The 16,261-nt window shown below is 42.3% G+C and overlaps 1 protein-coding gene across 52 annotated transcripts in view, besides 1 other annotated feature; it reads right to left on the bottom strand.

Moving 5' to 3' along the window:
• The window catches only part of NRXN3 (neurexin 3), a 1,697,919-nt gene that overhangs the window by 1,404,486 nt on the left and 277,172 nt on the right, over positions 1–16,261 (bottom strand). The window lies entirely within an intron of this gene.
• Positions 14,891–15,080: an enhancer, noted in NCBI's record as "active region_8817". NCBI's record gives its function as "activates an Ori minimal core promoter by ATAC-STARR-seq in GM12878 lymphoblastoid cells {active_cell/tissue: GM12878}" and the evidence as "EXISTENCE:reporter gene assay evidence [ECO:0000049][PMID:35858748]".

The following is a 16,261-nucleotide window of genomic DNA, read 5'->3' as shown; positions in this document are numbered from 1 at the left end:
TGAGTACTTGCTATATCTAAAAAAAATCCCAACAACAACCACAGGAATAAACAGGAAGAGAATTCTGTGGCCTTTATTGATCTCTCTGTCATATCTATGGCCAGAAACAAGGCATCTTTCTTCTGTGTTGCATCTAGTATGCATCTGTATCTTTAATATAATTAATATGTAAGAGTAAATTGATAATCTATTATGTGTGCACCATCATGGAAGAAAGAAAGAAAAACATATTTTATTATTAAAAAGTCAAAAAAAACAACAAGGTATGGAGGAAAGGGAATGCTTATACACTGTAGGAATGTAAATTAATACAACCTCTACGGAAAATAGTATGGAGATTTCTCAAAGAACTAAAGATAGAATTACCATTCGATTCAACAGTCCCACTACTGGGTATCTACCCAAAGGAGAAGAAATCATTATATTAAAAAGACACTGGCACTCATATGTTTATTGCAGCCACTATTCACAATAGCAAAGTTAAAGTCATAGAATCAACCTAAGTGTCCATCAACTGGTGACTGGATCAGGAAAATTTGAGATATACATACATATATACACACACACACCATGTATACATATATGTATACACACACTATGAAATATTACTCAGACATAAAAAAATGAAATCATGTCTTTTACAGCAATATAGATGGCACTGGAGACCATTTATCCTAAGTGAACTATTTCAGAAACAGAAAGTCAAATACAGCATGTCTCACTTACAAGTGGGAGCTTAACAATGAGTACACGTGGGTGTACCGAGTAGAATAAAGACATTAGAGACTCCAAAAGGTGGGAGAATGGGAGGGGATGAGGGATAAAAATTACCTACTGGGCACAGTGTACACTGTTCAGGTGATGGATACACTAAAAGCCCAGACCTCACTACTATGTAATATACACATGTAACAAAACTGCACTTGTACCCAATTCCTGCCATTGTTATTGTCATTCCTCAACCAATGTGTCAGAGTAGTCCAGAATAAAAACAGATGCCCCTAGGATATGTTTTAAATTACAAGGTCATTGTCATTAGAAGAACTGCCAATGGTTGAAAGGGAAACACCATACCAAATAGAATTATATTTAATTATAGCTATGTTATGTATTCGTTTTGCCAAGAGATCACTTAATATGTAACAATGAAAGTAGAATAAAGAGGAAAACCAACAAAGCATGAATTCTCCTCTTAGTTTTTAACAAGTAAATAAATTAAGATGTCTGATAAGGGGAGCTGGAGAGAGACAGATGCTTTAATTATCACATCCTGGCGTGCAATCTAAGACAGGGGAAGAGAGAAGGTCTTTCCTCATTGCAGTTTATGTCAGTTCATAGTACAATTACTCCTGGTGTCTCATACGTTGAACTTGAATGTCTTGAATTTAAAAAATGGATGAGCACCCCCCTCATCTGCTTATCAGAGCAAACCCATAAACACAGAATGATGTGGCACCTGGTGACAGCCACCCTAGGAGACAGAGCCACCCTTCGGCCTCTGTATGTGCCTGGTCTCTGCAGTACAGAGGAGGGAAAGCAGCTACTTTGAAGACTGACATTATCATGACCATCTTAGAAGATATCCATGGATCAAGGCATCCAAAGGAGCCTCTGGGAACCCAGGGTAAGCTCAGCAGAAGACCAGGAAGCCGGGCTTCCTTCCTAGAAAAGGAAAGCAAATGACCATGTGCTGAACACACTGCAACAGGCATTGTGCTTGGGGCTTCACCTCATTTATCTCTCATTCAAGCCCATGGGGAAAGTATTACTCTCCTCATTTTGTTAGGAGGAAATTTAAAGATCACACAGCAGTTCAATGCAAAGCTGGAGTTGGGAACCAGTTCCCTTTATCCCCAAAGCACTGCCTGCTCAATGGAAGAAAGATTCATCTTAAATCAGGTCTGACTTCACTTATGCATACATTTTATTTAGGAAATAGTGTCTGGAAAGGTACACTTCAATTATTCTGATTGCTAATCAAATTTTCTGAGATGAAAGTAATTTTTAGGATTTGGACCTCAGCCATTCTCGAAGCTTATAGTGACCCCAACATCTTGGGAAACCAAATTTAAAAAAGCCTTGAACCCACCCTGCACTCTTAAAACAGGTCAGTGTGTTATGTTTTTCTTTTTCCCACAGTTCTACAAATACCTCTTTCTCTACTTACATCAGGGCTCTTTTCTCTGACTAACTGGTTGGATGGACAGACACTAAAAATGGTCCCCCAGGGGAGAGGCAAATGTCCCATTACCAGAATTACCTGAACACAAACTAGGTTAGAACCGAGAGAACATCCATGCAAAATGAGTTGCATACCAGCCATGGCAGCAGAATTTTTCATCCAAGGCATCTTTGCAAGAACCTTTCTTGTGTTGAAAATAAGCAGAGTAAAGGAACATCCATGTGGCCACCAAGACACCAAGACACTCAGAGCAAACCCCTAGACTTGAGATTAGTAACATGGCTCTGAACAAGGCCTACCTCTTTCAATACAGCTTTTACTTGATTGTATTTACAAACAATTCTGTAAGGACAATATGCAATTCTCTAGTACTTTTTTCACTGAGCACTTAGCTTCACAATGTTAATTAACAAAGCATCTCACACAGTTGCATGCGAACACATGCACACACATAAGACTCACAAGAGTTGTACCAGGAAAAACGGTGACCTGTATTAGAACATTTGAAAACATTAGTGTCAGGATTCTAATTTGAACCTTGTTATTAGGGATTTGACAATCTATGTGTCAGTTTATGGACATATAAAAACGTTTCTTTGAATATATGTCTCTCAGTTAAAGAGTATTTAGACATATGCCAACAGGCCTGATTTCAGAGGTGCTTATCTTCAGTTACAAACAAGGTACAAATAAATATTTGTGGAGGGAGGGAGAAAGGAAGTTAGAGAGGGAAGGAGCAGGCAGAATGGGTACTCCTCTGGTAAACTGCTGAATTATCTTCAGAGGCCCAAAGAATCAAAAAGAAAAAAAAAATCCCAATATCATAGACCACCGGGCATCTTCCCAATACATTAGTCACATACCAACTAATTATTGACCCAACAGGGATAGAATCTCAGACCTAATCCATGAACCTTTTTCATTATACTTCATCTGTGTACATAGCCAGCCTCATTTTTATCTGTTCTGTATCTCTTAGTGCCACCTGCTCCTGACGAGAAAGTAGCCCCCTGTGACAGTGTGAAAAACATATTTGGTCTTTGTTGGTCTTTGCCAACTCCTCACTCTCCACCCCAACATTTTCCTATACCCCCTCCCAAAATGCCATTTCTGGCATACAGCTCCTAAAATCCTTGGAATCGCCATAGTGTCTTTTATATGCCAATGAAATGACTAGTGGCTGGGGACTCCACCATAGCTCCTAGATGGGGGCCAGAAAAACTAAGGCATGATTAGAGGTTTGGAACTTTCAGCTCTATCCAGCCCCCAACCTGCAGGAAACAGAGAGGGGCTAAAGATTGAGTTGATCCCCAATGGCAATGATGTAATCAATTATGCCTATGTAATGAAGCCTCCACAAAAACCCCAAAAGACAGGGTTCAGAGATCTTCCAGACAGCTGGACATGTCGAGGTTCCTGGAGGGTGGTGTGCTGGAGAGGGCATGGAAGCGCCAAACCCCTCCCCACCTACCTCCCACTCTGCATCTCTTTCATCTGGCTGTTGATAAGTATTCTTTGTAATATCCTTTATAATAAATGGGTAGATGTAAATAAAGCGTTCCCCTAAGTTCTGTGAGTTTCTCTAGCAAATCAATCAAATCTGGGGAGGGGATTGTGGGAATCCCCGATTTATAGCCAGTTGGTCAGAAGCACAGTTGGCAACCTACTACTTGTAACTGACATCTGAAGTGGAGGACCGTCTTGTGGGACTGAGCCCTTAACCTGTAGGACTGGACACTATCTCCAGGTAGACAGTGTCAGAATCTGATTTAATTAGAGGCCACCCAGCTGGTGTCTATTGGAGAATTGCTTGGTGGGAAGAAATCCTCACACATTTTGACGGCCAGGGGTCACAGAAGTACTGTGTTGTGAATATATAGTACGAGAAAGTGAGTTTGTTTTTTTGTATGCTTACACTTCCTGAGTCAAAAAAACAAGATCTTCTCAGCTATTCACAATCTCACCATCATCCCACTCCATCACCCAATAAAAAATTGAGGGGACACTGGGTTTTTCCACCATCACTTTGTATGTCCCACACTGCACCACAAGTCCCCCATCAGGCCCTTATAAGACATAGTCCTACAGGGGCTGGGGAGAAAGGGCAGAATCCTGTGGGATGACCCAGTCAGAAACAGCAGAGGGAAGACCTTCCATGGGTTGGAGCAGGACGAGAGGCTGATGAGATTCAGAGCAGCAAAAGCCAGCTTTGCATTCAACCAACATCTCTTTTCTGGGCACCTCATACACTGAACATGACCTCATTTGCTCTGCCAATATCTCCATGAGATAGACAGCCAGGCAGGCCTTAACTTCTTCATTTTCAAGAAAGGTACCTGAGGCACGAGGAGGCTAGGTAATGCATCCAAGGTCACTTAGCTAATCAGCATCCTCTATCTTTTGATGCCCTACTCACAGTTCATATACTTTTCCCATTATTCTCTTGATTCCTTTCATTTCAGTGGCTGGCAATAAAATATAACCAGGTCTTCAGTAGAAACCCCAGTATGTTAGCTATGTAAGTCCACATCTACCCACTGAATAAACGCAGAATTTGAAGTATAGAACACAAGAAGGAAAAGATTACTTGGGCTGGGAGTAGAGTCCAAATTGACTCAAAGGTAAAGGGACATCTTCCAAGTGCCCAGGTGGCATCATTGGTCGAATCTCAGAGTTGGAAGGAGTCTCAGACTGTATCTATTCTGATGTAGGATTCCCCTCTCCAAGCAAATGTTCACCTGCGCCATATTTCTTTTAAAGTCTTCTCCTTAGTTAGATGGCTCCAATGTATCACTCTAGAGGAATTTGGAGAATACTTTCATAGCCAATGGTGAGAAGGAGATATAACAACAGGCACCTATTCTTCTATTAATCCCTGTTTGCAAGGGAAGCCTCTCTAAGTTAATAGCTACAGTTCTCATGGATTAAAGACTAAATTGAGAATGTTATTTGGTAGGATTAAGAACTTGCTTTGTACGAAAATCTTAAACCACAAAATTGCCTCAGAAGAGATGTTCTCCTTTTCCCCAACTTAGAGACAGATAAAGATATAAATAGATACACAGATTCACAAAAGTAGAAAAGATGGAACACAGGAGGAAACGTGAAGAATATGATTTCACACAGCTAGAGGGGACTCAGGTAATAATCAGTATAGTACAGACTGCCTAGGGTTTTGCACCAAAAAACCCCAATTAATTAGTGATGGCTGCCTTGGGCATAGATTTGGAGAGTGGTGGTACACACATTCCACATTTTTCAAGTCTCTAATGTTGTCTAAGCCCCTCACTTCACACCTAAGAGTCCCTGTTGGAAGACAATTCTCTGTGAATATCTCACATTTCTGCACAGTTTGAGTCCTCTGAGCAAAGGGCTCTACTGACAATTTTTTCTGGGTTGGTTGCATAGTAAAAATTCTTGGAAATGAAATAGAGTGTCTCTCTCTAGGTCAGAAGGCAGATTTGTTTCCTGACCAGTATAACAAAGATAGAGACTGTCTCCTTCCCCAGAGACATTCCAGGATAGTTAGGTCTCCCTCCTTTCTCTGAAGATTTGCTCATATTCTAGAGTAAAGTTAAGGTCTTCTCTCTCTGCAGGGAAGAGTATGAGCAGGTCACCAGCAGCCCTAGATAAGGTCAGAGAATTTTCTAAACTGGAGCGGGGGGTGTCTCCTGCTTAACAGGCTCCACTATATGTGCAACTACCATCTGGCCCTTACCACATCACCCATGGGCATCAGGATTCAGAGAACTAATGCAAGAGATCACCTTGATTGCTGTATTTGCCATAAGTAATCAATGATCTTTGTGTTTGATCTAGAGTTTGTATCTTCTCTCATTATGTACCCTGACAGCAGTGTGGGTACGTGTGTATGCACATATACAGATATATCTATACACACATATATATCTGTATACACCATATACATATATATAATATCTACCTGTGGCAGATTAACTTGTTAGCTTGCAAGTAGGCTGCAGTCTCAGACCCTTCACAGTTTCTGACTTAACAATCCTAATTCTCAGTGCAATGTTCTTTCCATTGAAGAACTACAATGTGTTGCCAGGCCATTTTGACCTGTTTTGTAACCCTCAGTACTACCTGATCCTGGACCAGAAGGTAGCTCCCTGAGTCAAAGAACTCAGAATCCCCTCAGCTATTTACTATCTCACTGTCACCCTCTCCTCTATCACCTAATAACGAAGTGAGGGGGCCTTGCATCTTTCCACCATCATCCTCGCTCTGTACTCCCACACCACATCACAAATCCTCCATCAAGAAGTAATCCTGGCTGGGCGTGGTGGCTCATGCCTATAATCCCAGCACTTTGGGTGGCCAAGGTGGGCAAATCACCAGGAGTTCGAGACCAGCCTGGCCAACATGGCAAAACCCAGTCTCTACTAAAAATACAACAATTAGCTGAGTGTGGTGGTGTGCACTTGTAATTCCAGCTACTTGGGAGGCCAATGTGGGAGGATCACTTGAACCCAGGAGACAGAGGTTGCAGTGAGGTGAGATTGAACCACCGCACTCCAGCCTGGACCACAGAGTGGGAGGAGAAAGAGGAGGTGGCGGGGGAGAGGGGATGGGGGAGGGAAGGGAGATGAGGAGGAGGAAGAGAAAGAAGAAGAGGAGAAGGAGGAGAAGGAAGAAGGAAGGAAGCAAGGAAGGGAAGGGAAGGGAGGAAGGGAGGGAGAGAGGAAGGAAGGAAGGAAGGAGGAATGAACGAACGAAAGAAGGAAAGAAAGAAAGAAAGAAAGAGAAAAAGAAAGAAAGAAAGAAAGAAAGAAAGAAAGAAAGAAAGAAAGAAAGAAAGAAAGAGAGAAAGAGAGAGAGAAAGGGAAAGAAATCCTGCAGAGCCTGTAGGGGGAGAAAAGGCAGAATCCTGTGGGATAAGCCAGTCAGTAATAGCAGAGGGGACCCTCCCATGGGCTAGGATAAGGAACAGAATAAGAAGGTGATGAGATTTAGGACAGTGGAAGAAGGAATAAATGAATGCAATGACAGATGATAAGAAGGTAAGAGAAAGCCGGATGAAGAAAGAAAAAGAAATGAAGTACACGCAAAGAAGGCAACATGAAGACAGCATAGTACGCTAGAAAAAGAAAGTTAGTGATAGGTTTTTAAAAGTGTGAAGTCAAAAATAGTGTTGCAAGAAGTCCCTCCCAAAATGCTTATGTCATTAAAGCAGAAAACCCTTTACATACCTGTGTTTCCATTAATAGCTCCATTTAACATATGAGAAAACTAAGGCACAGAGAGCTAAGTAAACCTATTAATAAGCCTTATTCAACTGCTCCAACAAGGCTCAGAGAAGCAAACCTGAGCCGCTTTTTGTACTTTTCTTTACAAGGTTTACTTCCTCTTTCAGTTCTTTAGAGATGCTGCCACTTGGAGCCTCTGATTTATGGTTTCACAAGTAAAAACTGTCGTAGGGGGGTGTCGACTGTCATATTTAGGAAGACAACAGTGCTGTTTGTCCTGCGACTGTTTACAGAAGACAGATCGTGCCAGACACAAACACAGTGCCATTGACAGGCTTTGGAAAGAGGCAGGATGGACAACAGGGGCCCTGAGGCGTGCTGTGTGTTTAGATGGTCAGGGAGACATTTGATGTCCATCAGGATATTTCACTTGCAAATTCATTCAAATTGACCAAGAGAAGACTAAGGCTTTCCCAAACTGAAAACACAACATTGTAAGAATGATGAAGAGGAATAATATTTAGAGAGCAAAGTCTGGAATTTGGAGGGAGGAATGTGAGATGTCCTTGGGCCCTGAGGAGCTACAGCAGCTCAACAAATTGAGTTCTGGGCAAAAGAGGGTGAGTAATGCCCACTGGTGATAGAAGGTGGGGTGGTGGCTGGCTACCTGGCTTTCAACAGATCAATGAACTCCCAAGGGCCTGCCTCTCTGTAGAATGGGGCAGCAGTACTAATCGACTTCTTGGGGCTATCACTTGGAAAAGAATAAAAACGTTCTAAAGGTGCTTGGTAAATATGAAGTGCTGTACAAATGGCAATACTAACATCACATTTTATTTAACATCTTCATTAAGAACTCGGAGTGGAACAGGCAGGCTGTTAATGAAGTCTGCAGAGTACTAAATCGGGCACTGCTGCCAACAGCACGGCTCAGACAAGCAAGCACCCAGCGGATATATGCGCAAGCCCCTGGGATGGAGGGTTAGGTTCCTCCTGCACAGATCAACCTGCCCTGCCCAGGAGCTCTCCCTAAGGGGACCATCTGGGGAATATCACACTGAGTCTTCTCCTCCCTCTCCATCCTTAGCATGTGTGTCCAGGTAAAACTGGACTGAAAGGAATGGGAAGGATGTGTAAAGAGGGATGTGGAAGCTCCCCCAGGGTCCACCCAAGATGTGGAAGTATAGAAGGAGGGCTGGGGAATCTAACTCCCAAGTCCTGGTGATGGAAGGTCCCATGTAGGGGGTGCAGTGCAGTTGCGACACTTGATGGTCTCTCCAGAAAGACGGCAATGCTCCTCTTATGAGATGGGCCTACAGCCCTGGGCATCAAAATGCCACACCCTCCTTGGGCTTTTGTCTTCAAAGAGAAAAAGTGCAAGATACTACTCTCGACCTGGGTGAGCATCAAGGCCAAGGAAACAAAAATCAGCCTTGAGAGTTCATGGCTATGCCCCTGGACAACACAAACAAGCCTATGGCAGAATCCAAACTCCTCGTGGCTTGCAAGGCTCTTCATGACCCAGTCCTTGCTCCGCTTTCCAGTCTTACCCCTCACCACCCATAGATTTTGCTCCAGCTATGCCAAGTTACAGCCAGCTCCTTGGCTCTATACATATCCTGTTCCCTCTGCCAGACACACTCTTCTCTTCCCTCCTTGCCTGGATAAGTCAACTCATCTTTCAGGTCTCAGTTCTCTAATGACTGCCCTGAGCACTCATCTTCTATGCACCATAGCACCTTATGTTTTTCTCATCATAGATCCTGACTCAACAATTATTTATTGACTGTCTATTCTGTGACAGACACTGTAGAGAGGCCACAGCATTAAATGAGACAGACCAAATCCCTACCTCTCAGGAGAGACAGCAGTTCTCAAACCTGGCTACACATTAGAATCACCTGGGAAGCTTTCTAAAAAATATCATTACCATTCCAACTTTATTAGTGTGGACTGGGGCCCTGATGATGGGTATATTTGAAAACAGTGGTTTTCATCAATAACAGCCTTTTGGGATTTCTTAGGAAGATTCATAAAATACCAAAGCCTTGTTCCCACCACAGGGTACCTAAATCAAAATGCCTGGGAATGGGGCTTGGACATAGGTTTTTTTTTTTAAGTTATCAGGAGAAGCTAGAGTATGGTGAAGGTTGAGAGCTAGTGGTCTAGAGGGGAAAAAAGACATGAAATACCTATCATACAGCCAGTAATGGCCTGCTTACTTATCCGTATCCCTGATAGTCTATGAACTCCTTAAAAGCAAAGATCTTATCTAAGATATTGTTCTCAGGATCTGGTATTGTGCCTGGCACACAGTAGACTCTCATCTAATATTTACTGAAAGAAGGAAAGGAGAGGACATAAGCTCTTAATTATCTTGGTTCAGTGGTGTATTAGTTTTTTAGGGCAACAAAGTACGACAAAGCAGGTGATATAAACAACAGAAATTCATTGTCTCGCAGTTCTGGAGACTAAAAGACTGTGATCAAGTGTTTTCAGAGCTGGTTATTTCCGAGGACTCTAAGGGAGAGTCTGTTTCATGCCTCTTTTTTAGTTTCTGGTCATTTGCTGGCAATCTTTGGCTTGTAGATGTATCACTTGGATCTCTGCCTTCATGTTCACATGGCATTCTCCCTGTGTATATGTGTCTGTTTCTGTGTCCAAATGTCCCCTTTTTATGAGAACATACTCATTGGATTAGGGCCCACCCTAATGACCTCACGTTAACTCGATCATCTACAAAGACCCAAATAAGGTCACATTTACAAGTTCTGGGAGTTAGAATTTCAACATCTTTTGAGAGGATAAAATTCAATCCAAAACAAGTAGGATGCTCTTTCTTATGCTGGAAAAAGGAATGAAGAAAGGACAAACTCTTAATTATCTTGGTTGAGTGGGATGCTCTCTTATGTTGGATCAGAGCTCCCTGTTCTAACTTAATTCCAAACAGAACTTCTTCCAGCAGCACTTTGCAGAGCAAAATGGCATAAAGTAGACCTGGGCTTTAGCAAAATGGTCAATCGGCATATATCATCCACCCTTTCTCCTCCCAAGGCACCTTGCCTTATTTTCCAGTTCTTAGTTGGCCGCATGGTCCTAGTTGGCTGCTGCATCTGAACAGGGAGGAAGAGAGTTCCATATAAGATGCTATATAATTTTGTTGTCTCTTGGAGATGTTGGAAATTAAATTTCTCTTTAAACACTATCAATGCCCAAAATAATACATCCCTAACAGTGGAACTGTAGCCATTATGACAAGAGAGGTCAAGAGAAATGGGAGGAGGACAAAGGAGAACTCCTGGTGACCACCCTCCTCATCTGGCCCACCCTCTCCCTCTGAAACACATGAGGCATTATTGGACTTGGTCTATTGAAGGCTTGTTCTGGGTCACTTTAGGAAATAAAAACTCTAAAGGGTTTTTATACTTTCTAAAGAAAATGTAACTTTCGCATTCTATCCCAACTCCATCAATGGTTAATTAACATATTTTATGAAGTAGCCACTTATTTTTTTTCTAATGAAAACTCAGAGCTTGACCTATGCTTATCATACAAGTTGACTCTCATCTTGGGATTGCACCTGGCAGCACCACCTCTCTAGAAGGCTAGCTGTAGCCTGGATGTTGGCTCTGATGCCATTGATTAATAAGCCCACTAACTAGTGCTTAAGCTGCAACTGCCAAGCTGGGGTGGGCACCCAAATTGGCACCACTTTATGAAAAAACTTCTTTTTACATGCTTTCAGGAACTAGTTTAATTAAACAAGCTCTCACCTTTTCAATTGTTCTCATCTAGATTTTCAGCCATTCTGAAATGCTGTTACTTATGACTGACAGCTGCCTTGAGAGATAATAATGTGGGAAAAATTAAAGATCCTCCACATATTCCTCATACCAAGAAAAAAGCACTAGGCTGGGAGTCCTAAGGCATGAAATCTTGACCTGGATCTGTCACCATCTGGGTGTCACTGGGAAAATCACTTCCCTTCCCCTCATCCACAATTTTCTCAGATGTTTAATGGTGATAATAATAGCCAGACATTCTTCTAAGCACTTTATGTACATTGAATCACTTAATGCCCCAAACAGCCTTATGAAGTAGTACTATTATATTCCTCCTTTAAATATAAGAAGATCAAGCCACAGAGAATCAGCTTGCCTTAGGGCACACTACTAGTGACTGGTGAGCTGAGACTTGAGCCAAGTAACCTGGCTCCAGCATCTTTGCTCTTGGCCAATATGCTATAATAATGGCATCATAATATCAGTACCACCGGAAGTAGTAAGAATTAACTCAGATTATGCACATAAAAATTTAGCAAAATATTTCATAAATGTCAGCTATATTTATTATATTACAGTGTAGGATTCCAAAAAATGTTAGGTAGGTGGGCGGCTAGATGCCTTCTCCAGAACTGTCTGGAAGTCTTCTCCTGAGGATGTAGTCCATATTTGATAAGATTCTATTATTTTCTAAATTTCATGGGGAAATGTGAAAAGGACAACACTAGGTGAGTTTTGAGAAAAATGTCCACTTGATCTAGCACATAATCCCATTCTAACGCCTGCAAATAAGGCTGGTCTGAAGAATGGCCAGAGTAAATGTAAGACTTTCTAATCTAAAAATAGCTCTGCCATCTAAATGCCATCCTGCATAAAATGCTGCCATCTTTGGGTTAAACATTGTCCTCTACGTGCCTACGCAGGACTCTTAAAATACAAATGCCCACCAGGAGCAGACAGCATTAAGTCCCATCTGCTGCAGTGAGAGTTCGTTTATTACAGTCTTTCTTTGGGGGAATCATGTATGTATGCTATGGCTATCTATACGGGAAGGGAGTATAGAAAGAAGTGAAACACCCCAGACTTTGCATGTTTCACAACTTTGGATTAGGCCATCCTGGTTCCAAGCCCATTGCTTTTGCTTTTAATTTCAATCTGTCATGAAAGGCAAGGCAGGGCACAGAATGGAACTAAATTTACAGAACACATACCAAGTGTCAGACACTGTGCAGTGTGATTTCTCCAGCATTACTTCCTTTAACTCTTGCAACAATACTGAAATGTAGGTACTCTCAACTCCCACACCTTATACCAGTTGTTTGGTTTAGGTTTGTTTGCTTTAATGTATAAAGACACAGGAGGTCATAGATGTAAGCAATTGTCTAAGGTCCCGTATGTTGTAATTGGGCACATGTGGTGCTATAACTCAGAAACGTCCAATTCTTAAGCTTGTTCTTTGTGCCACTCCACACTCTGTGCTTGAGTTACTCAACCTCACATGACTCAAGGACCCTGCAGCAATAAGGGGAAGAGGTGGCCAGAGACAGGCCCTATAAACCAGCTGATAAAAGAAACCACAAGCACAACCCCATCCTTCCCCATCTCTGCCCTCATTCCTTATTCTGATGCAAAGCTCCAAAGGTAGAAGAAGTGGTAGCAAGGTGAGCAAAGGCCCCAAGACCATGCACACATGTATTCACACTCACACACACACACACACACCCCAAACACCGTCATCTAAAGCCCAGACACTGCTTCCAGCTGAGCCCCTGTGTGGCTGAGAGGAAAGTTATTTACAGCAAGGTCTAACCTCTCGCGCCACCATGTAATTCCAGGCAATTGCACTTCCAAATAGATCATTTTGGAGAAAATCAACAGCGGCTTTGCTTTCAATCTACTGGAAAATGAAGTCCTGTGAATGTGTTACATAAGTCCACAGCAGGCAGAGGGAGAAGCTCAGGAGCCCACAGCTCTGACCAGAGAGGGTGAAGTTCTGATGCCCCAGCCTCCCAGAGCTCCTTCCCACCTGCCCCAACCTACCAGGCTGGTGTGTGCTTATGGCTTTGTGGATTCCACCGGGCTCCAGGTAGGGAGGAAGTTATTAAGTAAAGCGTGCGAAAATCATCAGCCAGGGCTTTAGGGGAGGAATGGGAACCAGTGAATGACACAATGACCTGTCCTTGGAGAAGACTGGAGCACAGTTCCTGCCCTACCCAGCCTCCATCCCATTTAACACAATGTGGCAACAGCCACTCCCATGCACACAGCTGCACAAACACATCCCAAACCTGTGGCACAAAACATTTTTTTCCACTTTGTAATGTTTATTTTCCATTATAAAAGTTAAAAATCTCACTGAAGAAAATTTTGAAAACATAGAAACAGAAAAATGAAAACACTTTTCTCAATCTGCTAACAATAACAGTACAAATGACTGGGTAACAGTATTAGAGATATTGCGGTACACCTCTAATACCTATACCCAGTCATTTGCACAGTCATTGCTAGCAGATTGATGGATTTCTTGCCAGTGCTTGTTTTATCCATTTTAAATTTAAAATAATAATTCCTGATGAGCTTTCCATATGCCTCAGGCATTCACCTTTGGGACCCTCTGTCAAATGCTGATTGACGTGTGCTTAAGAGTTTGAAGACATAGGAAATGAGTTGGGTAGACAGATAGCCAATGGTCTGTTAGAGAATGGAGAAGGATTCCTTAGTGGGATACAAAGAACACTGAATTGAGAATCGAGAGATATTAATTCCAGCCCCATTTATACCATCATTGACTTTAGGACGTTGGATAAGTCATATCTTCCTTTTGAGCCTTATTTGCATCATCCATAGTGAGAAGAAGAGTAAAGTACATTAGCAACAAGATGAACAGGTTCTTGAACATCTTATACTTTCTGAGAAAATCACTTACTCTTCCTGTGTGTGTCTTCATCTGTACAATGGAGATATTAATGCTCATGCCCCAAAACTTCTCATAGCTGCTGTGAGGGTCAAATTAAATGGTGCGTGATATAAACGTGAACGCTCTAATAAAAAATAGAGAAAAATATCTGTGGCACATTTTAGAGATATTGTGTGAAAATGTAAGATAATAAATGTGATAACAGGCTGGGTGCGGTGGCTCATGCCTGTAATCCCAGCACTTTGGGAGGCCAAGGCAGGTGGATCACTTGGGGCCAGGAGTTCAAGACCAGCCTGGCCAACATGGTGAAACCCCATCTCTACTAAAAATACAAAAAATTAGCTAGGCCTGGTGGCTTGTGACTGTGGTCCCAGGTACTCAGGAGGCTGAGACATGAGAATTACTTGAGCCTGAAAGGCGGAGGTTACGGTGAGCCAAGATCGCGCCACGATATTCCTACCTAGGTGACAGAGTGAGACACCATCTCAAAAATAAATAAATAAATGTGATAACACCATAAAGAGAATGAAACACCATATAGGAGTGAGATGAGGAAGACACAGAGAGAGGTGCTGTTCCTGAAGTTCAGACAAGAAATCAGAAGTCATAGGAGGCTGCGGAGGGAATGAGGAATAAAGGAGTGTACTAAAAAGTAATTTGTTTTCTTCTTTACCTGGTTTATCCAAAAAGGCACCGAGTGCTCACTCTCTCCGCGCCCAGGGTGGGGAGATTCCACTGCAGAGAGCATGATTTGAGTTGGTTCTGAACTTACGCAGGAACTGAGAGACTGCTGAGACACTTCTGTCCCATCTCAGCGGGAACCTTCCCAAATGTGGAAGCCCAATGGAAGGCACTCTTCAGGCTGAAGACTGGGGTCAGTTTCATCTTTATACATCATAAAGAAGCTGAGTGGAATGCAGGCAGGGGAGGGGATAAGAGGGGAGAAGCTCTGAACCACACAAAATGCGGAGGAGAGCTACCCATCAGAATGCCCACACCAACTTTGGGGATCCCCAGGAGCAAAGCTGCCAGACCATGAAATTAGTGATAATGCGCCACCTTCTGGCAGACCTGAATATTGCACAACATCCGGTGTCCGTGAATTGCAACCCTTGTCCCAGTTCAGAGATCTAAGGGATCTTTCCAAGTCAATACACTGGTTTCACAGCACCTCCAAGACCAGGACTAGCCTAGGAAAAACTGCTACAGTGAAAAAAACGTGTTTTAGCAGCTCCTGCTTCTTTATTCAACTTGTTCTTTCCAGATTTTCCACCTTCATTTGGCTACCCAAACCCAATGTTCTTAATGCATATGCAAGTACCCATGACCTATTGAGTCACCTCCTCCAGCAACGCTTGTATTTTTACAAAAGCCTAAGGCCATGAGTGCTGTGTAATATTCATCCTGCATTCCAATTAAAACAGGTATTGGGCAATTGCTCTGTGCTACACACTGTGCTAGATAAGTAGCCGTCTTTCAGGGTCTTATAATCTATTTAGGAAAGTAAAAAAAATGACTAAACTAGATGCCACCGTGCAAGGAGATCATAAGTTGAACAGTAAAGATGATAGACTATCTAGGAGTTCTAGAAAGGAAAAAATTATTATGGTTGGGGAGGTCAAAGAAGGTAGTATTTGACCTGTGCTTTAAAGGAGTGAGATTTTTAAAAGAAGAGATGAAGAAGATACACCCAGTAAAAAGAATAGAACACACAAAGGCACAGGATGGGGAAAAGGCAAAACCTGCTCATGCAATACTTTGAACAGAGCATGTCAGGGAATAACAATGACAACTACTGGTACATTTTTATAAGGCCCATTTTTACAACTGTATCTTTTCAATCATCCCATATGGAGATATTATGACTACTGAGCCCATTTCACAGATGAAGAAAGGTAGGCTATAAGAGCCTCACTTGCTTTATGAAGTTTCTATAACTAGGAAAAGAAGAACTTAAACCCACAGACTCCATTTTCAAATCTCAGGCCATAGCAAGCATGATTAACTCAAAAAGGGAGATTGCAACTATTCTGTGAAGGACAAGGAATACCAAGCTAAAAAAGGAAATCAAGCTAATGTTGAGATTTCAGGACTGTGACAGTAAAGTGGGTCTCCCCTTTGGGGCTTGGAGTGGTGATGAGATTTTATGAGTTTTTCTCTCCTTCCAGACAAG

Source organism: Homo sapiens, chromosome 14, assembly GCF_000001405.40.
Source record: "Homo sapiens chromosome 14, GRCh38.p14 Primary Assembly".
NCBI lineage: Eukaryota > Metazoa > Chordata > Mammalia > Primates > Hominidae > Homo > Homo sapiens.
This window is presented reverse-complemented; position numbering and strand designations above follow the sequence as displayed.